This window comes from Homo sapiens, chromosome 2 (genome assembly GCF_000001405.40).
Source record: "Homo sapiens chromosome 2, GRCh38.p14 Primary Assembly".
Lineage (NCBI taxonomy): Eukaryota > Metazoa > Chordata > Mammalia > Primates > Hominidae > Homo > Homo sapiens.
This window is the reverse complement of record NC_000002.12, coordinates 121,698,265-121,725,851: the sequence shown is the minus strand read 5'-3', so window position 1 is coordinate 121,725,851 and position 27,587 is coordinate 121,698,265. Positions and strand designations below refer to the sequence as shown.

The 27,587-nt window shown below is 46.3% G+C and overlaps 1 long non-coding RNA gene and 2 pseudogenes across 1 annotated transcript in view, besides 2 other annotated features; 2 read left to right on the top strand and 1 right to left on the bottom strand.

Moving 5' to 3' along the window:
* Positions 1 to 27,587, bottom strand: part of NIFK-AS1 (NIFK antisense RNA 1) — a 78,907-nt gene that overhangs the window by 2,709 nt on the left and 48,611 nt on the right. The window contains exon 3 of the long non-coding RNA NR_037857.1: positions 19,945 to 20,084. This is a non-coding gene — a long non-coding RNA (NIFK antisense RNA 1). The remainder of the gene's footprint in view (positions 1 to 19,944; positions 20,085 to 27,587) is intronic.
* Positions 16,738 to 17,534, top strand: NPM1P32 (nucleophosmin 1 pseudogene 32; annotated as a pseudogene).
* LOC124906186 (uncharacterized) lies at positions 19,772 to 19,885 on the top strand (annotated as a pseudogene).
* Positions 25,378 to 25,877: an enhancer, noted in NCBI's record as "H3K4me1 hESC enhancer chr2:122457551-122458050 (GRCh37/hg19 assembly coordinates)". NCBI's record gives its function as "activates a minimal SCP1, AML or CMV promoter by ChIP-STARR-seq in naive H9 embryonic stem cells {active_cell/tissue: H9 hESC(naive)}" and the evidence as "EXISTENCE:reporter gene assay evidence [ECO:0000049][PMID:30033119]".
* Positions 26,035 to 26,154: an enhancer, noted in NCBI's record as "active region_16470". NCBI's record gives its function as "activates an Ori minimal core promoter by ATAC-STARR-seq in GM12878 lymphoblastoid cells {active_cell/tissue: GM12878}" and the evidence as "EXISTENCE:reporter gene assay evidence [ECO:0000049][PMID:35858748]".

The window sequence follows — 27,587 nt, the reverse complement described above, 5'->3', positions numbered from 1 at the left end:
CCTGGGAAAGCGTCAGACAAGGTTCTCCATGTGAAGACATAAGTCTGTTGTGTTTGATCTTAAGGGGCATGTGCATTCAAACACATACATGTACATGGCAAGATGAACTGAGTATTTCTCCCTTCCTGAACAGCCACCTGCCACCCCCCTTATTTGTTTGTTTAGAGACGGAGTCTCACTCAGTGTTACCCAGGCTAGACTGCAGTTGCACAATCTCTGCTCACTGCAAGCTCTACCTCCCTGGTTCAAGTGATTCTCCTGCCTCGGTCTCCCGAGTACTTGGGATTACAGGCATGCACCACCACGCCCAACTGATTTTTGTATTATTAGAGACAGGATTTCACCATGTTGGCCAGGCTGGTCTCGAACTCCTGACCTCAAGTGATCCACCCGCCTCGGCCTCCCAAAGTGCTGGGATTACAGGCATGAGCCACCACCCCCAGCCAGCTATAGACATTTTTTGTAAAAAAAACTTTTTTTTAATGGAAAAGTATATATCAAAATTAATTCAGTTATCTAATTAGGTTTTTCCCTGTTTCTTTTTTGTTTTTTTCATTGAAACGGGTCTTGCTATGTTGCCCACAGTGTTCTTGAATTCCTGGGGTCAAACGATCCTCTTGCCTCAGCCTCCTAAAGTGCTGGGATTACTAGCATGAGCCACCAGGCCAGCCATTTTTCGCTTTCTTAATTTTTAAAAATTAATGAGGTTTTTGTTGCTATTATATATAATCAGACAAAAAGCTATAAAGGAAAAAAAGAATTAGTCCACAGACAAGTTTTGGTTGGAGTCCGACATTTCACAAGCTGTGTATTGGCCATAAGATGGAGTGTCGAGTGAATAGATGCCACAGAAATGGCCTTTGAATGGCGAATGAATGAAGTTGACACAAGTTCAGAACGGGTTTTTCCATTACTATCGTTTGGAATACAGTGTGGCCAAAGCCAAGGCAACTGGTCACTGTGACTGGAAATTGTAGCCCTGGCTGATTGTGGTATGAGACTGCTAATATGAATTCTAAAATCTCACTTTAATGCAGCAAAGCCTATTTCTTGAAGTGGTTGGGGAGAAAGTACAGCACATGAAAATGATAGAGAATTCACATTTCAGTGTATGTAAATAAAGACTTACTGGAGTGCAGCCACACTTATGTGTATATGCTGTCTGCGGCTACTTTTCTGCTATAGGAACTCAGTTGTAACAGACCATATGTGGTCCTCTGCTTAGCGCTGCTGCTGGATGCACTACAGATTGTGCATTTCATCGTTGGAGTAGTCCCAACTCATAAGAAAGCATCAGAAGAGTTAGATGTTTAAAATGGAGTATCAGCTGGGTGCGGTGGCCCACACCTGTTAATCCCAGTACTTTGGGAGGCCAAGGCAGGCATATCACCTGAGGTCAGGAGTTCGAGACTAGCCTAGCCAACATGGTGAAACCTCATCTCTACTAAAAATACAAGAAACTGGGCTGGGCACAGTGACTCACGCCTGTAATCCTAGCACTTTGGGAGGCTGAGGCAGGCAGATCACGAGGTCAAGAGATCAAGACTATCCTGGCTAACATGGTGAAATCCCCGTCTCTACTAAAAATACAAAAAATTAGCCGGGTGTGGTGGCGGGCGCCTGTAGTCCCAGCTACTCAGGAGGCTGAGGCAGGAGAATTGTTTGAACCCCGGAGGCAGACGTTGCAGTGATCCGAGATCGTGCCACTGCACTCAAGCTTGGGAAACAGAGTGAGACTCCATCTCAAAAAAAATAAACACCAAAAATACAAAAAATTAGCCAGGCTTGGTGGCCGGCACCTGTAATTGCAGCTACTCAGGAGGCTGAGGCAGGAGAATCGCTTGAACCCGGGAGGTGGAGGTTGCAGTGAGCCGAGATCACCACTGCACTGCAGCCTGGGCACCAAGAACAAACTCCATCTCAAAAAAAGAAAAATACAAAAAATTAGCCGGGCGTGGTGGCAGGCGCCTGTAATCCCAGCTACTCGGGAGGCTGAGGCAGAAGAATCACTTGAACCTGGGAGGCAGAGATTGCAGTGAGCTGAGACCGTGCCATTGCACTCCAGCCTGGGCAACGAGCGAAACTCCATCTCAAAAAAATTAAAATAAAATGGAGTGTCAGCACCCAATTTCTTGACAGGAAAATGAGGCTGTAACTAAAGTAAGTTTCCAAGTGGCTTGTTAGCCAAGCAAGGAAAGCCATTTAGCAATGATGAGATAATTGTGTTTGATTCCAACAGCAGAAGAAATGTGGCCAGAGAAAATAAACTTGTTGATGTTGTTGTTGTTGTTGTTGTTAGAGACAGGATCTCACTCTGTGGCCCAGGCTGGAGTGCAGTGGCATGATCATGACTCGCTATAGCCTCTGCCTGCCAGGCTCAAGTGAACCTCCCCGCTCAGTTTCCCAAGTAGCTGGGACCACAGGCACACGCCATGATGCCCAATTAACTATTTTTGGTAGAGACGTCTCACTTTATTGCCTGGGCTGGTCTTGAACTCCTGATCTTAAGCCGTCTTCCCTCCTCATCCCAAAGTGTTGGGATTACAGGCATGAGCCACCAAAATAAACTTAGAACTGTTGGCCTTTTGGTGAAAACAGTTGCTTGAGGAAGCAACATCAATAGTTTAAAAACAAGACAAATGATTTTGAACGTTTTCCTTGGCTCCTGAGGGGCTAACAGGTGTTACCAATACTGCTTAGTTGATCATTCGAAGAGTCATTGCCGAGTTGGAAGTGTTAGGGCGATCAGTTTATTTCAGTTTGCCCAGAACCTTTCTGGCTTGAACACTGAAAGTCTCACTTTCTGGGAACCTCCTCAGTTCCAGGAAAATTGGACCTTAGAAGTCACCCTGGAAGTGACTGAACAATTAGCCTCTGAATAGTCTGTGGAGCAGCTGTAAGCAAAAATGTTTTCAAAGTTGAAAGATTTATTATAACCTGAAGTGGGATTTGCCAAGTTGGGCCACAACTGATAGCGGCAAAAATACGTAGATAGTAGAAAAGGGCTTAGTCGAACAAATTTCCCATTTGTGAAAATACAGGGTATTTGAAGGCTAGTCATTGCATGAATTACCAGCAGGTGCTTTTCAGAAAATACATGAACCTATCGTGTCATTGAAGCAGTAGTCACCAGTGCACTTCATTTGTTCCCATGGACTTGGCCATCATCAGCAGTTCCGTGGATTGACAGAAATAGAAACAGAACATCCTGACTCACCCTGCCTACCACACAGCAGTTTGAAGGCTTAGCAGTGATAAAGATTTACCTAGACTTTCTGAGTTCAGGGCCAAGATTTAAAATTTGTGAGTGAGAACATTCTGTTAACTATTATCATCAAATACTGAACAGGTTCAGAAAGTAGATTTTGCTGCAAACTTGCTGTTTCTTCATGAATTTAAGTCAATGAGTTCAATTTAGAATTAAAAGGCAAAGCCACTTACATTCAAAACTTACAAGGCTGAAAAGTCATTTTGATGACAACATTTGAATCACGAGTAATATCAAGCTATTTTATATACTTCCTGTGCTGTGGAGAGTTAAAAGCCGTGAGATCTGCATTCCCACACAATATTTATAGCAGATGTATTTTCCAACCTCAAACTGTGCTTCCAATAGTGTTTTCAAACTTCAGTAAAAGTGCAAAGGAAATTTCCATATTTCGAAATCTACGTTAACTGAGGGACTATAAAGCTTCCACCCATCTTTCAACAGAAGATGACTAACGGCAGTGTAATAACATGCTAACACATACCACGACAGAAAGGTAATAGAATTCTACAAATGATTTTCAAGTGAGGAATATACTCAATTGAAATCATACTTGGCCAGGGGCGGTGGCTCACGCCTGTAATCCCAGCACTTTGGAAGGCCGAGGGGTGGATCACCTGAGGTCAGGCATTCAAGACCAGCCTGGCCAACATGGTGAACCTTGTCTCTACTAAAAATACAAAAATTAGCTGGGCATGGTGGCAGGCGCCTGTAATCCCAGCTACTAGGGAGGCTGAGGCAGGAGAATCACTTGAACCTGGGAGGCGGAGGTTGCAGTGAGCCGAGATAGAGCCATTACATTACAGCCTGGGTGACAGAGCGAGACTCCGTCTCCATATATATATATATATATATATATATATATATATATATATGGTGAACATCGCAAGCAATGTTGATTGGAAACACTAGCTTCACACCTTCTACAAAAATGAACTCAAAATGTATCACAGACCTAAATGTAAAACATAAAACTAAAAAACTTTTTAGAAGAAAACAGAAAAATCTTCATGACCTGTGTTTAGGCAAAGAGTTAAACATGAAACCAAAAGCATGATCTATAAAAAGGAAAAGTTGATAAATTGGACTTAATCAAAATTTAAAACTTGCTTGGTGAGGAGTCTTTCTGAACCTATTCTGGTTCAGGGCTGCCCAGTTAAAAACAAAAAAAACGCCAGGCGCCCAGTGGCTCACACCTGTAATCCCAGCATTTTGGGAGGCCGAGGTAGGCGGATCACCTGAGGTCGGGAGTTCAAGACCAGCCTGATCAACATGGAGAAACCCTGTCTCTACTAAAAATATAAAATTAGCCAGGTGTGGTGGTACATGCCTGTAATCCCAGCTACTCAGGAGGCTAGGGCAGGAGAATCGCTTGAACCCAGGAGGTGGAGGTTGTGGTGAGCCAAGATCGCACCACTGCACTCCGGCCTAGGCAACAAGAGCGAAACACTGTCTCAAAAAAAACAAACAAACAAAAACAAAAATGTGGCCGGGCATGGTAGCTCACTCCTATAATCCCAGCACTTTGGGAGGCCAACAACACAGGTGGAACACCTGAGGTCAGGAGTTCAAGACCAGCCTGGCCAACATGATGGAACCCCACCTCTACTAAAAATACAAAAATTAGCTGGATGTGGTTGTGCACGCCTGTAATCCCAGCTACTCAGGAGGCTGAGGCAGGAGAATTGCTTGAACCCAGAAGGCAGAGGTTGCTGTGAGCTGAGATCTTGCCACTGCACTTCAGCCTGGGTGACAGAGCAAGACTCTATCTCAGGGCAAAAAAAAAATTCTTGGTGAAAGACACTTAAGAGAATGAAAAGATAAACTAGATTGAGTGAAAATATGTGCAAAAGACTTTTTATCCAAAATAGACCTCTCAGGTGAGCACAGTGGCTCACACCTGTAATCCCAGCACTTTGGGAGGCAGAGGTGGGCAGATCACCTGAGGTCGGGAGTTCGAGACCAGTCTGACCAACATGGAGAAACCACATCTCTACTAAAAGTACAAAGATTAGCTGGCTGTGGTGGTGGGCACCTGTAATCCCAGCTACTCAGGAGGCTGAGGCAGGAGAATCGCTGGAACCCGGGAGGCAGAGGTTGCAGTGAGCCAAGATCATGCCACCACACTCCAGCCTGGGCAACTGGAGTGAAATTCTGTGTCAAAAAAAAAAAAAAAAATCAGCCAGGCGTGGTGGCACATGCCTGTAATCCCAGCTACTCAGGAGGCTGAGGCAGGAGAATCACTTGAACCTGGGAAGCCAAGGTTGCAGTAAGCTGAGATCATGCCACTGTACTCCAGCCTGGGTGACAGAGCAAGACTGACCCAAAAAAAAGAAAAATCTCTTAAAACAATCAGCCTGAATTGTCATAGAGAAACCTAATTTCTGCCTTTTGACCATAAAATAGGAAGTAATAATGACTTTTCAACGCTTGTACTCCATTTAAGGACTCAGGCGGCCGGGCACAGGGGCTCATACCTGTAATCCCAGCACTTTGGGAGGCTGAGGCAGGCGGATCATGAGGTCAGGAGTTCAAGACCAGCCTGGCCAGCATGGGGGAAACCCCTTGTCTGCTAAAAATACAAAAAAATTAGCCACGCGTGGTGGTGGGTGCCTGTAATCCCATCTACTTGGGAGGCTGAGGCAGGAGAATTGCTTGAACCTGGGAGGCAGAGGTTGCAGTGAGCCAAGATCGCGCCACTGCACTCCAGCCTGGGTGACAGGGCGAAACTCCATCTCAAAAAATAAAAATAAAAAAAGGACTCAGGCATAACATGAAGTATGCAATAATAATTAATGTTTATTACATGTTTGCATATGTAATGTTGCAGATGAGTAAACTGAAGCCCAGGGAGCTTAGGTAGCTTGCCCACAGATTGTCTATGGTGACCCAGTTGAACTGACTCAAGTTCTTAAAGTTTACTTTCAGTGAGATTAGCATAAATGCTAGATTATTCGTGGCCATGGAAAGGAAAAGGGCTGGGGTCAATGCTTCACGCCTGTCATCCCAGCACTTTGGGAGGCTGAGATGAGATGGAAGGATTGCGTGAGCCCAGGAGTTTGAGACACCAGTGAGCACTGGAGGGGACCACTGCACTCCAATCTGGGTAAGAGAGCAAGACCCCCCTCTCTAAAAATAAACAAACAAAAAACAGGGAGAAGTAAAAGACAAGACCTAGTGACTTTCCTTTGTTGTTGTTGTTTTTTTTGAGACAGTCTCGCTGTGATGCCTAGGCTGGAGTGCAGTAGTGTGATCTCAGCTCACTGCAACCCTCACCTCCCTGGTTCAAGCGATTCTCCTGCCTCAGCCTCCCGAGTCGCTGGGATTACAGGCGCCTGCCCCCACACTTGGCTAACTTTTGTATTTTTAATAGAGACAGGGCTTCACCATGTTAGCCAGGATGGTTTCAAACTCCTGACCTCGAGTGATCCACCCACCTCAGCCTCCCAAAGTGCTGGGATTACAGGCGTGAGCCACCGCGCCTGGCTGACTTTCCTTTTTTGCTGTTTTGTTTTTCTTCTCCAAGTTATTGGTAGAGGGACCTAGTGACTTTATGAATTGGGAGCAGAAATGGGGCACTGGGACACACATGGAATGAAGAAGGCTAACAAGATTTCTATTCTTAAATGCTCAGCCTTGAAATAACTCAGAGCAATATAACGCTAGGTGGCAATAGATCCCAGGCACTTGAAATTTACAGTCAGCCTGGCACGGTGGCATGAACCTGAGGTCCCAGCTTCTGAGAAGGTTGAAGCAGGCAGAGAAAATCTACAGTTAACTCATTGCACTTAAAGAGATTGGCAAAAATCCAAAATTATTAAAGGGGTTTATACCCTAGTGTTAACTTTTTTTTTTTTGAGATGGAGTCTTGCTCTGTTGCCCAGGCTGGAGTGCAGTAGCGCAATCTCGGCTCACTGCAACCTCCATCTCCTGGGCTCAAGTAACTCTCCTACCTCAGCCTCCCGAGTAGCTGGGATTACAGGTGCCTGCCACCACGCCCAGCCAATTTTTGCCTTTTTAGTAGAGATGGGGCTTCACCACATTGGCCAGGCTGGTCTTGAACTCCTGACCTCAGGTGATCCACCCGCCTCGGCCTCCCAAAGTACTGTGATTACAGGCATGAGCCACTGTGCACGGCTGGAGTCTCACTCTTTTACCCAGGCTGGAGTGCACTGGTGCGATCTCGGTTCACTGCAGCTTCCGCCTCCCAGGTTCAAGCGATTCTCCTGCCTCAGCCTCCTGAATAGCTGAGATTACAAGCACCCGACACGACACCTGGCTAATTTTGTATTTTTAGTACAGACGGGGTTTCACCATGTTGGCCAGGCTGGTCTTGAACTCGTGACCTCAGGTGATCCACCTGCCTCGGCCTCCCAGAGTGCTGGGATTACAGGTGTGAGCCACTGCGCCCGGCCTCAGCCCACCAATGTCTACACTACTACAGGACAGAAACTACCACTATCAAATGCCCCTTAAGCAATTTGGTGCTTAGGAAACATCTTTCCAATAATTGACAATTGGTGAAAATATATTTACCAAATGGGTTTGGGTCACCAGCAATACAACATTCCAATGACATGAACCATGAAAATATTTACCTTATGAATTTGTGTATAAAGATGAAGAAATATAACTTCGATTAATTTTACAATATTTATGGGCAAATTATTTATTTATTTATTTATTTTATATAGAGATGGAGTCTCACTATATTGCCCAGGCTGGTCTCCAATTCCTGGCCTCAAGCAGTCCTCCCACCTTGACCTCCCAAAATGCTGGGATTATAGGCGTGAGCCGCTGTGCATGGCCAAAGCAGTTTTGGTTTGGTTTGGTTTGTATTGGTTTTTAGAGACAGGATCTCACTGTGTCGCCCTGGCTAGAGTGCAGTAGCATGATAATAGCTCACTGCAGCCTCGAACTCCTGGCCTAAGGTGATCCTCCCACCTTGGCCTCCTGAGTAGCTGAAACTATGGGAACTTGCATGAGGCCCGGCTAATTTTTTTTTTTTTCTTGAGACGGAGTTTTGCTCTTGTCACCCAGGGTGGAGTGCAATGGCATGGTCTCAGCTCACTGCAACCTCGGCCTCCCTGGTTCAAGTGATTCTCCTGCCTCAGCCTCCCAAGTAGATGGGATTACAGGCATCTGTAGCCACCACGCCCGGCTATTTTTTTGTATTTTTAGTAGAAATGGGGTTTCACCATGTTGACCAGGCTGGTCTCAAACTCCTGACTGACCTCAGGTGATCTGCCCACCTCCCAAAGTACTGGGATTATGGGCGTGAGCCACCGAGCCCAACCTTTTTTTTTTTTTTAGAAATGGGTCCTCAGTATGTTGCCCAGGCTGGTCTGGAATTCCTGGCCTCAAGTGATCCTCCTGCCTCAGTGTCCCAAATTGCTAGGATTACAGGCATGAGCCACTGCCCCTGGCCAGCAAATAATTATATATAATTATATACAGTGCATATAATGTTCTTAGGTATGTATTAAAATGATGGCTCTATGTAAAAAGAAAGTTTCGGCTGGGCGCAGTGGCTCACTCCTGTAATCCCAACACTTGGGAGGCCGAGGTGGATGGATCACTTGAGGTCAGGAGTTTAAGACCATCCTGGCCAACATGGTGAAACCCCGTCTCTACTAAAAATACAAAATTAGCTGGGTGTCCTGTCAGGTGCCTGTAATCCCAGCTGGGAGGCTGAGGCAAGAGAATCACTTGAACCTGGGAGCTGGAGATTGCAGTGAGCTGAGATTGCACCATTGCACTCCAACCTGTCAACAGAGTGAGACTCCGTCTCAAAAATAAATAAATAAATACATAAATACATAAATAAATAAATAAATAAATAAATAATTTTACACAAGAGAACTTTGCTTTAGTACCACAATCACTGTAAACACAATCTGTAGCCCTTGGTGTTCGGAGTATATTTCCTGTTTTCCAGTCACTGGGCTATTTTGGTTTTATTTCTTATTCATGAGGCCTGAACTATAAACACGAAGTAAACACTGGACTTAGAATTTGGAGCATTTTTCTACTTCAGCTAGTAAACCTCAACATTTTGGAAATATTTTTCAAGTTATATGTAGATGATCTATTTCTGTCCTTTTTCTCTCCAAAACAAATAAAGACAAAATAATAAAACAATTTGGCTAGTTAGGGTTTACCTGAGGTCAGGAGTTAATGTCCCGTCCCATTGATCCAATTAGAGAATGTTTCACATACCTGTCTACAAATTTATCCTGTTGCAGTAACCAATCTGTTTTATAATTAAGTAGCTTACCAATTATTGCAGTGGCCTGCTCTGCTTCAATTTCTATTAACAAAAAGAAAATGAACTTGTAGCAGTATCTCAGACATTACTTTTCTTTGCTGATAGGAGCCAATTTTGGAATCTCCCCTGTTATAAATAAATGCTGTCAACCCTACAAGGTCCAGGAAAAGAAATTCAGACATTTGATACTTGCCAAACGTAGTTTCCACAGCAAATGTGCCATAAGTAATGCTGTTGTTCTCTGTAGCTTCATTCACAGGTTCTATGATTTGGCTATTCAAAAGAGGAGTTTGCTGGTTTGGGGGAAAGTAGGACTCTTGCAAGAGGAACCTGGGGAAATATCCTAATTATCTGTCCCCAAAGAGAAAATGTTGAGATGTTTTTTGGCAGTGATGCAGGATACTCATTGGCAGCTTTTTTATTCTGAAGGACTGTGTTAATTTTTCTTCTATTTCTCCTTTAACACTTGGCTAGATGATAAATATTGTGGCTTTTCTCTAATTAACTTTTTTTTTTTTTTTTTTAGACCAAGTTTTGCTCCTGTCGCCTGGTCTGGAGTGCAATGGTGCGATCTCGGCTCACTGCAACTTCCGCCTCCCTTGTTCAAGCAATTCTCCTGCCTCAGCCTCCCGAGTAGCTGAGATTACAGGCATGAGCCACCACAGGTGGCTAACTCTGTATTTTTAGTAGAGACGGGGTTTTTCCATGTTGTTCACGCTAGTCTCGAACTCCCGACCTCAGGTGATTTGCCCGCCTTGGCCTCTCAAAGTGTTGGGATTACAGGCATGAGCCACCGTGCCCGGACTTCTAATCAACTTTATAAAAAACAAAAACCGCTGCCAAGACATGCCTGGTATAATTTTAAAAACTGCACCCAGTAGTTTAGTAAATGCAAACCGTATAACTTCCCTACCTTGCAAATTTGTACTTAGCCAGCTATCTGATTTGATGTTAATGTAGAACCAGCCATAAAAAGGCATGTTATTCAGTCGGCTCCTTATTCTCCTGTGACTTTTTTTTTCCATTTAATTTATTATCTGAATAGGTAATACATGCAAATGGTATGAAAATTCACATGGCTTGAGAAGGTATCTCTGTCCCAGGCATTGCTCCTCTGCCCCAGTCCCCTGACCAGCTTGCTACTCAAGTGGACATGCCACCATCCTCCCCAGCTTCCCAGGCGGTATCCCCAGTGATGGGGACAAGGCTGGCACATCACATTTGTTTAATGAATGAATGCATTCAAAACATTCGTGAGTGCCCACCATGTGTCAAGCACTGGGGATCAGCAGTGAATAAAACAAAAATTCCTGACCCCACGAGGCTTATATTCAGCATTGCGAGACAAGCAATTACCAGATAAAGAAGTAAAGAAGGTCGGGTGCAGTGGCTCACACTTGTAATCCCAGCATTTTGGGAGGTCGAGGCGGGCAGATCACCGGATATCGGGAGTTCGAGACCAGCCTAGCCAACATGGTGAAACCCTGTCTGTACTAAAAATACAAAAAAATTAGCCAGGCATGGTGGTGGGAGCCTGTAATCCCATCTACTTGGGAGGCTGAGGCAGGAGAATTGCTTGAGCCCGGGAGGCGGAGGTTGTAGTGAGCAGAGATCATGCCATTGCACTCCAGTGTGGTTGACAGAGGGAGACTCCATCTAAAAAAAAAAAAAAAAAGAAGTAAAGAAATACATTATGTGGCACAAATGGTAAGTACTGTGGAGAAAAATAAAACAAGAAATGGGCTTAGGGACTTCTAGAGGTGGAAGTGGGACTGCCATTTTCAGTGGGTGATCAGGAAGGCCTCATACTGAACATGACATTTGAGTGATCTTTTTGAGGAATTCGGGGAGCCATGCAGAGATCTTGGAGGAAAAGCTTTTAAGGCAGAGGGAACAGCAAGTGCAAAGGCCCAGAGGCCAACCAGGCTGGGTTATTTTATTATTTTTACTTTTTTAGAGGTGGGGCTCACTCTGTCATCCAGGTGGGAGTGCAGTGGCATGATTATAGCTCACCGCAGCCTCGAATTCCTGGGCTCAAGCATTCCTCCTGCCTTGGCCTCTTGAGTAGCTGAGACTACAGGCGTGGTTATTTTAGAAACAGCAAGGGCACCAGTGTAGCTGGAACAGAGTTGCCAAGGGAGAAGTAGAGAAGGACAGTAAACAGATGCGTCAGGACCATGGAGGCCACTGTAAACCATTGGCTTTGACTCTGAGTGAGTCAGGAGCATCAGTGGGTTTACGGTTTAAGGGATCAATGCTCAATACTGCAGCACTGAGAATAGACTGTAAGGACACACAGGAGGTTGATGCTATTGCAGTAATCCAGATGGGCGTCAGTGGCGGGTTGGACCTGGTGATAGCAAGGAAAGTGAAAAGTGCTCACATTCTGGATAAATGTTGAAAGTAGGCTGGGCCTGGTGGCTCACCCCTGTAATCCCAGCATTTTGGGAGGTGGAGGTGGATGGATCACTTGTGCCCAGGAGTCTGAGACCAGCCTGGGCTACACAGAGAGACCCCATCTTTACAAAAAATAAAAAATTAGCTGGGCATGGTGGCACGTGCCTGTAGTCCCAGCTACTTGGGAGGGTAAGGCAGGAGGATAACTTGAGTCAAAGCTGCAGTGAGCTGAGATCATGCCACTGCACTCCAGCCTGGGTGACAGAGAGAGACTCCTCTGTCTCAAAAAAAGAAAAAAAAAAGGTGGCTGACAGGTGTAGCTGATGATTTTGATATGAATGTAAGAGGGAAAAAGAGGAGTCGGGTTTGACACCGAGGACTTTGACCTGAGCAACTGGAAGAAGGGAGGTGCCTTGGCTGAGATGAGGAAGGCTGTGGGAAGATGTTTGAAGGAAGAGTGGAGATCAGAAGTTATGCTTTAAAAATGGTAAATTTGATGCTCTTGATAGTTATGGGGTGAGACAGAGTGTGCAGCTGGAGAGAAGCCTGTGGTTCACAGGAGAGTTCTGAGCTGGAGACATCAGTTCAGGAGACAGCCATGAGACCCAGTGAGATCATAAAGGAGCAAGGGCCCTGGAGCCCTCTCATGTCTAGAGGCCAGGACAATGGGCAGGAACCAGCAGACGACACCGAAAAGCAGAAATAGCAAGGTGAGGAAAAAGCCAGTGCGCTGTGTCCCGGAAGTCGGGGGAGAAAGTGATCAGCTGGGCCCCATGTTGCTAGACATGTTAAGATGCAGTCCGAAAATGGACAATTGGATTGAGCAATCTGGCAATGACCTCGCAATAGGAGAGCTAAGCAAGTTTCCAGCCTTGAAATTGTATAATCCTTTTAGTTTTTTGGGTTTTATTTTTATTTTTGGAGGCTGAGTCTTGCTGTATTGCCCAGGCTGGAATGAAGTGGCGTGATCTCGACTCACTGCAACCGCTGCCTCCCAGGTTCAACCAATTCTCCTGCCTCAGCCTCCTGAGTAGTGGGGATTACAGGCACTCACCACGCCCAGCTAATTTTTGTATTTTTAGTAGAGACAGGGGTTTCACCATGTTGACCAGGCTGGTCTCGAACTCCTGACCTCAATCCACCCTCCTCAGCCCCCCAGAGTGTTGGGATTACAGGCGTGAGCCACCGAGCCCGGCCTATCCTTTCAGTTTATGCAAGCTATTATATTTCAAATTAAACAATGAAGGAAGAGTCAAACAATGCTAAAGCAGTCCCCTCATCAGAGGTAACATGGCACCTCCCACATCGAAGAGCAAGGGTAGGAAGCATGGAGCCCCCCAGCTGTTTTTGAAACTGTGACTGCCCTCATCATTTTTGGGACATTACTTCTACCTGAGGCCTCTTGATTGGAGTCAAAATTGAAATCCAAGTCAGCCTGGTTCCAAGGGCTATGTCCCTTTCTCCTTATGACATTTTTATTTCTTTTTAGAGCAAAATGTTTTCACCAGCTTCTGGAAGTTACAAATCCATTTTCTTCATCTTTTGCTCTGCTTTAGAAAAATGTGAAACTGAATGGCCGGGCGCGGTGGCTCACTCCTGTAATCCCAGCACTTTGGGAGGCCAAGGCGGGCAGATCACGAGATCGGGAGATGGAGACCATCCTGGGTAACGTGGTGAAACCCCATGTCTACTAAAAACACAAAAAGATTAGCCGGGCATGGTGGCGGGCGCCTGTAGTCTCAGCTACTCGGGAGGCTGAGGCAGGAGAATGGTGTGAACCTGTGAGGCAGAGGTTGCAGTGAGCCGAGATCACACCACTGCACGCCAGCCTGGGTGACAGAGTGAGACTCTTTTGTCTCAAAAAACAAAAAGAAGGAAAGAAAAATGTGAAACTGTACTGTAGGGTAGTTTTCTTTTTCCAAACATTTTTTTGTGCTGCTTACTGGTCTGAAAAATATTCTTCTAATCAATAATAATATATTTGAGACATTCATGGACAGGTTAAGAATGAGAGGATCCCTTTGGAAGGAACAAGGCAACAAAGACCCCAGTTCATAGAAGATCATACTTTTGTTAGGCAGTTTGCCTCAAACTTCTCCTGTGATGCTTAGCATCCAAACTGGTGTAAGGTAAATGATTCCTCCTAGTTGAGTCCTTGTCCTGTCCTTAACCATGCATCCCAGATCAGTCCTGTCCATGGTTCTTATTCTTTTTACTCTCACTTAGTGGGATTGGGAGCAAGGAATGCAGATTTTTTTTTTTTTTAACTCTGTTGCCCAGGCTGGAGTGCAGTGGCATGATCTTGACTCACTGCAACTTCTGCCTCCCTGGCTCAAGTGATTCTCTCTCGTGCCTCAGCCTCCTGAGTAGCTGGGATTACAGGCATGCACCACCACGCCCAGCTAACTTTTGTATTTTTAGTAGAGACGGGGTTTCACCATGTTGGCCAGGCTGGTCTCAAACTCCTGACCTCAGGTGATCCACCTGCCTCGGCCTCCCAAAGTGCTGAGATTACAAGCGTGAGCCACTGAACCCGGCTGGGGGGCAGATTTTACATCTACCTCTACAGGCCATGGATTTGGCCACAGAAATTCACCTGTGGCATATCAGAGTATAATTGGCAGAGTGTTTTCTTTCTTTCTTAATGGTACATAAATTGTGGAGTGTCTTACATCCACAGGCATCTTGGATTTGATGAATTATGATGCTGGCCACATGCAAGCTATCCATGGCCCTATCTAGGCTGCTGTAGGTGCCACACAGTTGCTATGCTCACCTGTATCTCTTTTAGTCCCCAGTATGTCATGTTTTTCTTTCAGTATTAGCTACTTATTTTCTTACTTCCCCCATTCATTCCATGAAAATCTTTCTCCATAACTCATTTTCCTTTTTTGGAAATGGCATTCTGTAAACCAGAGGCATTGCCTTTTATTTCTTCTCTTACTGGATTAATTTTTTTGCCTCCCAGGAAATGAAATTAACTACATTCCATAAAGCCCCGGCCGCAGTGGTGGGGAAGGCAGGAGACACAAGGCAGAAGTCAGGGATGGAGATTGTCTTCCGGGCATGTGGGAACTTGCTGGGGTGCCATGGTGTAGCCCCCTTCCCTCTCTGAGCCTAGGCACTTGTATCAGGGAAAGAAGTCACTGAATTCGCCAGTCAAGGTCCCTCCTGCCCTAAATTCTAGAGTTCATTTGAGCCCCACAAATCCTCACTGGAAAAGAAGTTCTGATGCAACCCCCAGCCTGCCCTGGTGAGGGACAGCTCCAAGACTATGCTGACCAGAGCAATCAGTGCCTCCTCTCTGGCAGAGTAAATAGCCACAGTCAACGCACCTCCCACAACCACGCTCCTCCACCACCTTGACTGATCTGTCCTACCTGTCACAGATCTGTGTCTAACATCAGAGAGCATTTCCGAGGTACAAAAACTGGGAACACAGGAAGGTGGGCACAAACTCGAAGACCCAGAGGGACAGATCCCACTGTAATTGTTTACTGTCTGTCTCCCTCAGACTGTGTCCCGTTCAACCTTGTGCCCACCCCCACCTGCTCCCCCACACTTGGCAATCAACTGCACAGAACAGGTACCCAGGAAGTGCCAAGGGAGTGAATAGTTCAGATGTGGGCGTGAGAGAAGTGCCCAATGAGTTCATTCATTGGAAAGAAGGAAATTATCTGATGCCACTGTGGGGGTTAGGGAAGACCTAAGATTCAGCACACCATGCTAGGAAATGCCTAAGAAACACAGGAGGACTGTGGCAGACGTCTGCTGTTTCTGGTTCCCAGCCTCGTTGGCCTTGAACGTTCGCCTCCCAATTTTCTTTGAATTCACCACCTCTCCCCACTCTAGTCAACCCATGCGAGTCTCCCTTTCAAATCAACCTATGTGAGTGACCCCAGCAAGAGGTCCTGCCAGTGCAACAAGGCCCAGGCCGCAGGGACAGACATGTTATAAAGTTTGGGCAAATGAGAGTCCTCCCTAGGACTCTTGCTAGAACTATTGGGATAGGCACACTTCCCACAGTGTCTCCAAACTCGGAGGAGCAGCTGGCGGCCCTTTCATCACCACAGGGAGCCCTAGCCCAAGAATAAAGCCAGCCCCAAAAAAAGCCAAACCAAGAGATGGAAGGAGATGGTTTCTTGAGGCCCTTGTCTGAGTCCCTCAATCTAGCCATGCATGACATTCCTTAGACTTTTCAGTAAGGTGTGCTAATCATTTTCTTTTTCACCCCAAAACCAGTTTGAGTTAGATTTCTGTCACAGGCAAGCAAAAACTTCCCAATACAGGCAACAGATTTTTCTTTTATTATTATTAATTGGCTGATTTGCTGGGCATAGTGGCACACACCTGTAGTCCCAACTATCTGGGATGTGGGAGTACTGCTTGAGTCCAGGAGTTTGAGACCAGTCTGGGCAATATAGCGAGACTCTGTCTTAAAAAAAAAAAAAAAAAAGAAAGGAGGCTGGGCATGGTGGCTCACTCCTGTAATCCCAGCACTTTGGGAGGCTGAGGTGGGTGGATTACCTGAGGTCGGGAGTTCAAGACTAGCCTGACCAACATGGCGAAACCCTGTCTCTACTAAAAATACAAAATTAGCTCGGCGTGGTGGTGCATGCCTGTAATCCCAGCTACTCAGGAGGCTGAGGCAGGAGAATTGTTTGAATCTGGGAGGCACAGGTTGCAGTGAGCCGAGGTCGTGCCATTACACTCCAGCCTGGGCAACAAGAGCAAAACACTATCTCAAAAAAAAAACAACAAAAAAAAACCTGGTGTGATTCCGTCCTGCGCGGCTATTCTCCCTGTTTAGGGGCTGGTACAAAGGATGAATTGCACATTGTTGAAGTAGAGGCAATGAATTACAAAGGCAGTCCAATTAAAGTAACACTGGCAACTTTGAAAATGTCTGTACAGCCAAAGGATTCCCTTGGAGGCTTTGAAATCACACCACCAGTGGTCTTACGGTTGAAGTGTGGTTCAGGGCCAGTGCATATTAGTGGACAGCACTTAGTAGCTGTGGAGGAAGATGCAGAGTCAGAAGATGAAGAGGAGGAGGATGTGAAACTCTTAAGTGTATCTGGAAAGCGGTCGGCCCGTGGAGGTGGTAGCAAGATTCCACAGAAAAAAGTAAAAGTTGCTGCTGATGAAGATGAAGATGATGATGATGAGGATTTTGATGATGGGGAAGCTGAAGAAAAAGCGCCGGTGAAGAAATCCATACGAGATACTCCAGCCAAAAATGCACAAAAGTCAAATCAGAATGGAAAAGACTCAAAACCGTCAACACCAAGATCAAAAGGACAAGACTCCTTCAAAAAAACAGGAAAAAACTTCTAAAACACCGAAAGGACCTAGTTCCATAGAAGACATTAAAGCGAAAATGCAAGCAAGTATAGAAAAAGCGCATTGAACAGTCCTGGGCACTGCTGGTAAATTAAGCCCAAAGATGGGGAGAAAGGAAAAGGAGAGACAAATATAGTCCATACTGAGTGTCATCAACAATCCAGACTGAAGTCTTCTATTTTAATTTCAATCCCCTTTTCTGATTTGCCACCCATGCCTCTTCAGGCTGGAAATAATCTCACGCTTGGTTCCCTAAAGCACTTTCTTCCGGCTGCTGTGATTCAGTGAACCTTGCCCTTTCCTTTCTATTACTTGTGCATTTGCCTCACCTCTGACAATGTTTTAAGTCGCCTTTGTATCTCCTTAGCTGCTTAATAAATATTTGAATGAATCAAAAAAAAAAAAAGGAAAGAAAACAGAAAAAAAAAGATAAACTGGCAGATTTGAAACAATTGTAGGTTTAAGAGGAAAAACTTATAACAAATAGCTGGGAATGATACCATCAGAGATGAGCTCAAGAGCAGTGGTGGGAAGAGGCCTGCTGCCAGCGCCACCCCTGCTCCCGCCCTGCTGGTGTGGTCAGAGCAAGGTGCTGCAATGGACTCAAGAACATTCCTATCATCCTGATGAAGTCATAAAATAGAAACCTCACTCTTTTGTCTTCCTGTTAGCAGGTGTTTGGAAGCCTTCAAACAGTTTCCAAAAGTCTCAGCAAGCTGAGAGCAGGGGCTCTCAGAAGCCCACGGGGGATGTTTGGCACCTGTTTTGCTGGTAAAACGCGAGGAAGTCCATATGTACTCTTGCCACCCCCAGTGTGACCAGACGGAAGTTTCTCCCCTCTTTACGTTGTAAATGTCTTGCATAATTTAGCCTCTCTTTTCCTGGTTAAACGTTACCCACAGCTGCCTGCTAAATGGAAAAATGACCAACACATCACCAGGCAGGTATGTGTCCATGAAGAATTTCCCACGAACCAGCAGGGATGTTGACCTCTCATTTTAACAACCTGGGGTTGTGAGACCATAAAAATCACTTGTGCGGGGGGTATAGGGTTGCAATTAATTGTTCCTCACAGATGCTACTGTGTCAGGAAGTGAGGGCTTTCTCTGATGATATAATGACCTTCATTCAGCCACCAGATCCTTTAAGCAGGTAACACTAGCCCAGTGGCAGAGTTTTTATTGTTTCCTTTCAAAAGCCATGTTTTCGGAGATTAAAAATTTGTTCTGCTTGCATTGAAGTAGGCCTTAAAAACAAAACAAACTTTTTGTTTGTTTTTGAGACGAAGTCTCGCTCTGTCGCCAGGCTGGAGTGCAATGGTGTGATCTCAGCTCACTGCAACCTCTGCCTCCCCAGTTTGAGCAATTCTGCCTCAGCCTCCCGAATAGCTGGGACTACAGGCATATGCCACCATGCCCGGCTAACTTTTGTACTTTTAGTAGAGACGGGGTTTCACCACATTGGCCAGGCTGGTCTCAAACTCCTGACCTAGGTGATCTGCCCGCCTTGGCCTCTCAAAGCACTGGGATTACAGGTGTGAGCCCACCATGACCAGATGTTGAATGAATTTTGACAAATACATACACCTGTGCAACCAGCCCCACAATCAAAATGCAGAATAATTCCATCACTCCAAAGTTCCCTCATGCTCCTTTGCGGCCAATCTCCTCCCACAACCCCTGGTTCCAGGCTACCACTGATCTCATTTCTGACCCTATAGTTTGTCTTTTCTATGATTTCTTTTTTTTTTTTTTTTTTTTGAGACGGAGTCTCACTCTGCCACCCAGACTGGAGTGCAGTGGCACAATCTCAGCTCACTGCAACTTCCCCCTTCCAGGGTTCAAGTGATTCTCCTGCCTCAGCCTCCCAAGGAGCTGGGACTACAGGCGCCTGCCATCACGCCTGGCTAAACTTTTCTATAATTTCATATGAATGGAATCATACAGCATAGACTCATTTTTCTCTGTTTCACAGACCATCATCCATGCATCAGTAGTTCTTTTTATTGCTAGGTGAATGAAGCACAGTTTGTCCATTCACCAGCTGATAGACATTTTAATTGCTTCCAGTTTTATGCTATCATTAATAAAGCACTTATAAATATTCATATACAAGGCTTTGAATGAACATATGTTTTTATTTCTCTTGGATAAATACGTACAAGTTGGATCTCTGGGTTATATGATAAATTTATTCTAACTTTATAGGAACCTGCCAAACTATTTCCAACAGCAATGTATGGGAGTCCCAGTCGCTCTACATCCTTGCCAATATTTTGTATAGTCAGAATTTTCAATTTTAGCCACTCTAGTGGGTGTTTAGTGATACCTCATTGTGGTTTTAATTTTGGCCTCTCATTTGACAGAGAATCATAGGCAGAAGAGTCAAAGCTTGGACTTCGCACCCATGGTCTTTTGAAGGCCACAGGCAGGGAAGGCAACGCCCATGCACCCAAGTCAAAACATGTGGAGAAAATCTTACCCTGTGGAGGAAAAACCCACTTGTGGATTTGTTTCAAAACTTAGTTTAGATCTTTTGAGTTTTCACATTCGTGTGAGATGTGCCTCCCTCAAACCTTGTTACTACCTTGGCACATTACATATCTGATGTGAAAATTAAATAAAAAAGAAAAGAAAAAAAAAGTTTATGAGGGAAACTCATTACCCACCTGTATCGTAATGGAGATGAATCTCCTAGAGCGATCTAAACATGCGGCTTTTCTGGTTTTGAAAGGGGAAGAGCTGGCTTGGAGCGCCACACACTGGGCCACGATCTTGACCTCAATCTCGTCAATCCTCCTGGGCATTTCTTCAGGACCGTGGTCAAAGAACAGATAAACGAACAGTGTGTCAGGCACCGTTCCACACATTGGTGACCTGGGCCCTGTCCTTATGGAGCTTACTATCCCATGAGGAAGGCAGATGCCAAACAAGTGATTATAAGTTGTGTGCTATGGAAAGCAGGCGCACTAAGCCAGGAGCACATGATAAGGGGACTTAACCCAACCCCAGCGGCAGGAAAGGGCCCAAGCCTTCCAGGAAGGGAAAGAACGCACACAAAGCTCTGGGGAGGAACTGGCAGTGTGACTTAGAGGAAACCAGGGAAGTCCAATATGGTCACGGCCTAAGAAAGAGCCTGACAAGAACACAGAGGCCCAGGCTCATGGCAGCAGGATAGGGCCTGGGCCTTTGTTTTTTCCCAAGTTCCCAAGCTGTCCTGATGGCAACCAAAGTTTAAGAACCACAGCCTCAGAACAATCCTCCAGGCTACCTCTCCTGCACCAAACACAGCCCCTGTTGGATGGAAGTTGATTCCTCCAGAGGGCCGTCTTAAGCCTCCACGCTGTGCAATTCTCTATCACTTCTTTAGTCTTTTTTCAGATGGTGGGTTTTTCACTATTATATGGCTTTATTTACTTTATTTATTTATTTATTTATTTTTGAGTTGGAGTCTCGCTCTGTCACTCAGGCTAGAGTGCAATGGCGTGATCTCTGCTCACTGCAACCTCCGCCTCCCGGGTTCAAGCAATTCCGGCCACAGCTTTCCGAGTAGCTGGGATTACAGGCGCCTGACACCATGCCCGTAAAATTTCTGTACTTTTAGTAGAGACAGGGTTTTGTCATGTTGGCCAGGCGGGTCTTGAACTCCTGACCTCAAGTGCCTGCCTTGGCCTCCCAAAGTGCTGAGATTACAGGAGTGAGCCACCATGCCCAGCCTATTTATTTATTTATTTATTTATTTATTTATTTATTTATTTTGAGATGGAGTCTCGAACTGTTGCCCAGGCTGGAGTGCAGTGGTGCCATCTCAGCTCACTGCAAGCTCTGCCTCCCAGGTTCACGCCATTCTCCTGCCTCAGCCTCCCGAGTAGCTGGGACTACAGGCGCCCGCCACCATGCCAGGCTAAATTTTTTTTTGTATTTTTAGTAGAGACAGGGTTTCACCATGTTAGCCAGGATGATCTCGATCTCCTGACCTTGTGATCTGCCCACCTCGGCCTCCAAAGTGCTGGGATTACAGGCGTGAGCCACTGAGCCTCGGCCTATTTATTTTTTAAATCAACTTTATTTAAGTATAATTTACAAACAGTAAAGTTTACCAATTTTAAATAAAATATTCAATGGGTTTCAACAAACCCATACAGTTGTAAAACCACCATTACTCCAACCATCACTCTTGCCCCTTTGCAGTCAAGCCCCTTCCCCCATTCCCAGCTGCAGGTAGCCACTGATCGGCTTTCTGAAACAACGGTTCTGCCTTTCTGTTCTTTCTTGTAAATACAGTATGTGGTGTTCTGTGTCTAGTTTCTGTCATTTAGTGTAATGCTTTAGAGATTCATCTATGTCACCTGTATCAGTAATTCATTTTTTTTAAATTTCTAAGCAGTGTCCCACTGTATCGATTACTACAATTTGTTCACCAATTGGTGGGCATTTGGATTGTTTCCAGTGGTTGGCTATTAGAAATGAAACTTTTGTGAAAGACAAGTACAGGTTTTTTTGTGAACGCTTCCATTTCTTTTTTTTTTTTTTTTTTTTTTTGAGACGGAGTCTTGCTCTGTCGCCCAGGCTGGACTGCGGACTGCAGTGGCGCAATCTCGGCTCACTGCAAGCTCCGCTTCCCGGGTTCACGCCATTCTCCTGCCTCAGCCTCCCGAGTAGCTGGGACTACAGGCGCCCGCCACCGCGCCCGGCTAATTTTTTGTATTTTTAGTAGAGACGGGGTTTCACCTTGTTAGCCAGGATGGTCTCGATCTCCTGACCTCATGATCCACCCGCCTCGGCCTCCCAAAGTGCTGGGATTACAGGCGTGAGCCACCGCGCCCGGCCGAACGCTTCCATTTCTTGTGAGTAGATAACTCAGGAGTGAAATGCTAGGTCATAGGTATGTTTACTTTTTTTTTTTTTAAAGACGGAGTTTCGTTCTTGTTGCCCAGGCTGGAGTGCAATGGTGCCATCTCGGCTCACCGTAGCCTCCACCTCCTGGGTTCAAGCGATTCTCCTGCCTCAGCCTCCCGAGTAGCTGGGATTACAGGCATGTGCCACCACGCCCGGCTAATTTTGTATTTTTAGTAGAGACGGGGTTTCTCCATGTTGGTCAGGCTGGTCTTGAACTCCAGACCTCAGGTGATCCGCCTGCCTCAGCCTCCCAAAGTGCTGGGATTATAGGCATGAGCCACCGTGCCCGGCTGGTATGTTTATAAGAATCTGCCAGAAGCCAGGCTTGGTGGCACGTGCCCATAGCCCTAGCTATTCAAGAGGCTGAATTAAAACCCAATTGTGTTTGAATAAAAGCACTATCAGGCCGGGTGCGGTGGCTCACACCTGTAATCCCAACACTTTGGAAGGCCGAGGCAGGCAGATCACTTGAGGTCAGGAGTTCGATACTACCCTAGCCAACATGGAGAAACCCTGTTTCTACTAAAAATACAAAAATCAGCCGAGCATGGTGGCACATGCCTGTGGTTCCAGCTACTCCGGAGGCTGAGGCAGGAGAATCGCTTGAACTTGGGAGGAGGAGGTTGCAGTGAGCCAAGATTGCGCCACTGCACTCCAGCCTGGGCAACAGAGCGAGACTCAGTCTTAAAAAAAAAAAAAAAAAAAAAAAAAGCACTCTCACTGCAGAAAGGAAAATAGGTTGAAAGGGACCAAAGGCCAGTTAAGCATCTTTTACAGTAATTTAGGTTGGAGGCTTTGAGAGGGAGTTAGAAAATCTCTGGTCAACATTTATATCAGTAGACAAAGGGGCTGCAGGAATAGGGATAGGAAAGAATAATTTACCTTTGCATGTGCTGAGTGCACAGACGAACTGTGAACTTGACCCGTGTTGGGCTGTGAGTGAGTCACAGAGCCTGGCAAAGATCTGCTCCTGACTGTGCTTGGGGACTGGGGATCCCACCAATGGGAACAGGTGGGAACAAAGACAAGAGATACTTCTGTAACCACCCAAGAGGTTCACCTTGCCCACTGCCTAGACAGAGCCGATTCATCAAGACAGGGGAATTGCAATAGAGAAAGAGTAATTTACGCAGAGCTGGCTGTGCGGGAGACTGGAGCTTTATTATTACTCAAGTCAGTCTCTCCAAGCATTCGGGGAGTGGAGCTTTTTTTTTTTTTTTGAGATGGAGTCTCGCTCTGTCGCCCAGGCTGGAGTGCAGAGGCGCAATCTCGGCTCACTGCAAGCTCCGCCTCCCGGGTTCACGCCATTCTCCTGCCTCAGCCTCCCAAGTAGCTGGGACTACAGGCGCCTGCCACCACGCCAGACTAATTTTTTGTATTTTTAGTAGAGACGGGGTTTCACCGTGTTAGCCAGGATGGTCTCGATCTCCTGACCTCGTGATCCACCCGCCTCAGCCTCCCAAAGTGCTGGGATTACAGGTGTGAGCCACCGTGCCCAGCATTGGCCATGCAGAGCTTTTAAAGATAATTTGGTGGGTGAGGGGAAGCCAGTGAGCCAAGAGTGCTGATTGGGCAGGTCAGAGATGAAATCATAGGGAGTGGAAGCTGTCTTCTTGTGCTGAGTCAGTTCATGGATGGGGACCACAAGATCAGATGAGCCAGTTTATTGATCTGGGTGGTGCCAGCTGATCCATCAAGTGCAGGGTCTGAAGAATATCTCAGGCACTGATCTTAGGAGCAGGGTAGGGAGGGTCAGAATCTTGTAGCCTCCAGCTGCATGACTCCTAAACCACAATTTCTAATCTTGTAGCTAGTGTTAGTACTACAAAGGCAATCTAGTCCTCAGGCAAGAAGGAGGTCAGCTTGGGAAAGGGCTGTTACCATCTTTGTTTAAACTATAAACTAAGTTTCTCCCAAAGTTAGTTTAGCCTATGCCCAGGAAAGAACAAGGATAGCTTAGAAGTTAGAAGGAAGATGGAGTCGGTGAAGTTAGATCTCTTTCACTGTCTCAGTCATAATTTTGCAAAGGCAGTTTCAGTTCTTATCTCCTTGGCTGAGACCAGGAAATATATTATCACAGGAATGGAGTTGTAAGTAGTGGCTGGTTGTCTTTTGAAATAACACCATGTCACAACAGCATTCAATTATTATTAATTTACAAAGCAGCTAATCTTGATGGGCACTGTCAGATATGGGTATGGATATGGGTGAGACACTTACCCTTCCTTCAAGTTGCTCATAGTTTAGTAAGTGAGCAAACTAACTGTGCTGACTTTGGTTTTTTTGTTTGTTTGTTTGTTTGTTTGTTTGTTTTGAGACAGAGTCTTGCTCTTGTCTCTTGTCGCCCAGGCTGGAGAGCAATGGCACAATCTTGGCTCTCTGCAACCTCCACCTCCCAGGTTCAAGTGATTCTCCTGCCTCAGCCTCTCGAGTAGCTGGGATTACAGGCACCTGCCACCACGCCTGGCTAATTTTTGTATTTTTTTTAGTAGAGACAGGGTTTCGCCATGTTGGCCAGGCTAGTCTTGAACTCCTGACCTCATGATCCGCCAGCCTTGGCCTCCCAAAGTGCTGGGATTACAGGCGTGAGCCACCGTGCCCAGCCCTGACTGTGGTTTCTAACACTGTCTCTACAGGAAGCCGTCTCTCTAACAGTCTCTCAGATCTTAACCTATTTATTTGTATCCCCTTACTGAGTGGGCCCAATACCTGTGAAGGGCAGCTGTGTAACAGCATCACCACAACTCTGTTGTACGAGTTGAAGTTCATTGCATTAACTTTGAAGGATTAATTAATATAGTGTCTCTCTTCCAGGATTCCTATAGGACATGCTTCTAAGGGCTCAGGCCAGGAGTGGGCTCCATCCTCAGCTTTTTTTCAGAAGCTACAGAAGCAACTGTTTTCACCCCCATACTCAGAGCGAGTGAAATGGGGGTTGCCGGAAGAAAGTGCTTCACGACGACAGAGTGGTTATCAAAATATGCCAATCAGCCACACAGCTCCCAGCTCACCAGATTTGTCAAAGGGCCAATCAGCTCTAAGGGTTTCTGTGGAGAAAAATGCTCATTTATTGGGAGACAGAAAGGAGAGCTTTGGCTGAAACCACTTTGCCTTCACCAGCAACTTTTTAATCCCTTTGTCTGGTGCATGAAATCAGTTCCCAGAACACAGAGGTTATTAATAACTGTGGGACCTTTTCCCAGTCTCCAGATCAATTGGCAGAAGCCTCTGGTTATTTCCTTCTGGATGCTTCTATTATTTGGAGCTGAGAAGTGACCTCCTCCTCAAAACCTGTACAGATTTTCACCTGGCTTGGGAATTACACAGTCACCCACCAGCCCCCAGCCTTGCCTCCTCTCCACTCTTCCCTGGCTGGGCTGGCTCGGTGCAAGGCTGGTGTCTTTGCTTCCACCGAGAGACTACGTGCTGTCCAGTGGAGTCCAGCACGCACCTCTCTTCCCACTGGTTCCTCACTGCCAGGTGAGGTCCAGGGCGTTGATCCGGATCCATGGAGCCAGGCTGATGTACAATGAGTCACTCTGAGCTGGCTCCTCTCCTCATGCTTGGCAGAGGTCCTAGCATCAGCTGCTGGGCAGGTGCTGAGCAAGGCCGAGGTCTTAACTTGGCGACACTGGGGTGGACATTTCTCCAGGAGGAGCTGCTGTGATCGGCAGGACTCAGTAGAGAGAGTGTCTTACATGTAGGGCTTCCCCCTTCTCTCCCTCTTGCTTCCTTCCTGCGGGGGCCAAGCCATGCCTGTGGCTTTACCAGGATCTCAGTGCAGGAAATGTTGCAGCTCCTCTGACTCTCACCTCCTCTCTCAGCTCCAGGTCGCCCCTTGCTTGCTGGCCGCATCACAAGGAATGGCCCTCAGCACCCGAACCCAGACAGGCACAGTGGGCTGGACAAATCTGGGTCATACTGGCTAAACACCGTTAGCTTCCCTGTGAAATGAAAGCAAGAGCCTTCACCTTGCAAGGCTGAGGGAGGTGGGGGCAAAGCACCTCCCATGCGGGCACAGTGGGCCTCTACTGAGGGTTTGATCATTAGGAGCGTTGTCACCTCTGAGAGCTGACCTCATCTCTCCCCACAAACCCGCTCACCCGGTCTGCTTCCTGTCTGGGTGGATGGCATCATCACTCTTAGTCACTCAGACTGAACGAAGCAGCTCTCTTCTGGCTCATCTTGCACTGGCCTATTTGTATGTGTGTGTGTGGGGTAAATATACCTAAAATGCATATTTTTTTGAGACAGGGTCTCACTCTGTTGCCAAGGCTGGAGTACAGTGGAACCATCTCTGCTCACTGCAGCCTCCACCTCCAGGATTCAAACCGTCCTCCCACCTCAGCCTCTGAAGTAGCTGGGACTACAGGTGCATACCACCACGCCCAGCTAATTTTTGTATTTTTTTTGTAGAGACAAGGTTTCACCATGTTACCCAGGTTGGTGGGGTTTGTTTGTTTGTTTGTTTTGAGACAGAGTCTCGCTCTTTCTCCCAGGCTAGAGTGAAATGGCATGATTTTGGCTCACTACAATCTCCGCCTCCTGGGTTCAAGCGAGTCTCCTGCCTCAGCCTGCTGAGTAGCTGGAATTATAGGCGCCCACCACCATGCCCGGCCAATTTTTGTATTTTTAGTAGAGACGGGGTTTCACCATGCTGGCCAGCATGGTCTCGAACTCCTGACCTCAGGTGATCCACCTGCCTCGGCCTCCCAAAGTGCTGGGATTACAGGCATGAGTCACTGTGCCTGGACCCAGGCTGGTTTTGAACTTCTAAGCTCAAGCTACCCACCTGCCTCAGCCTCCCACAGTGCAGGGATTATAGGCATGAGCCACCGCACCTAGCCTAAAATGTAGCATCTTAACCATTTTTAAGTGTGCAGTTGAGTGGCATTAAGTACCTTCGCACTGTTGTGCAACCATCACCACCACCCATCCACAGAACTTTTTCACACTCTCCAACTGAAACTCTGCGCCCATTAAACACTCACTTCCCGTTCCCCTCTCCTCTCAGGTCCTGGCAACCACCATCTTACTTTCTATCACTACAAATTTGACTACTCTAGGGACCTCATGTAAGTGGAATCATACAGGATGTGTCCTTTTGTGTCTGGCTTATCTCACTTATCACAATGTTCATAACGTTCATCCGTGTAGTAGCACGTGTCAGAATCTCCTTGCTTTTTCAGGCTGAATAATATTCCATTGTATGTATATACCACATTTTGTTTATCCACTCACTGGTCTATTTTTTTTTTTTTTCAGACGGAGTCTTGCTTTGTCTCCCAGGCTGCAGTGCAGTGGCACAATCTCGGCTCACTGCAACCTCCGCCTCCCGGGTTCAAGAATTCTCCTGCCTTAGCCTCCTGAGTAGCTGAGATTACAGGTGTGTGCTACCATGCCCGACTAATTT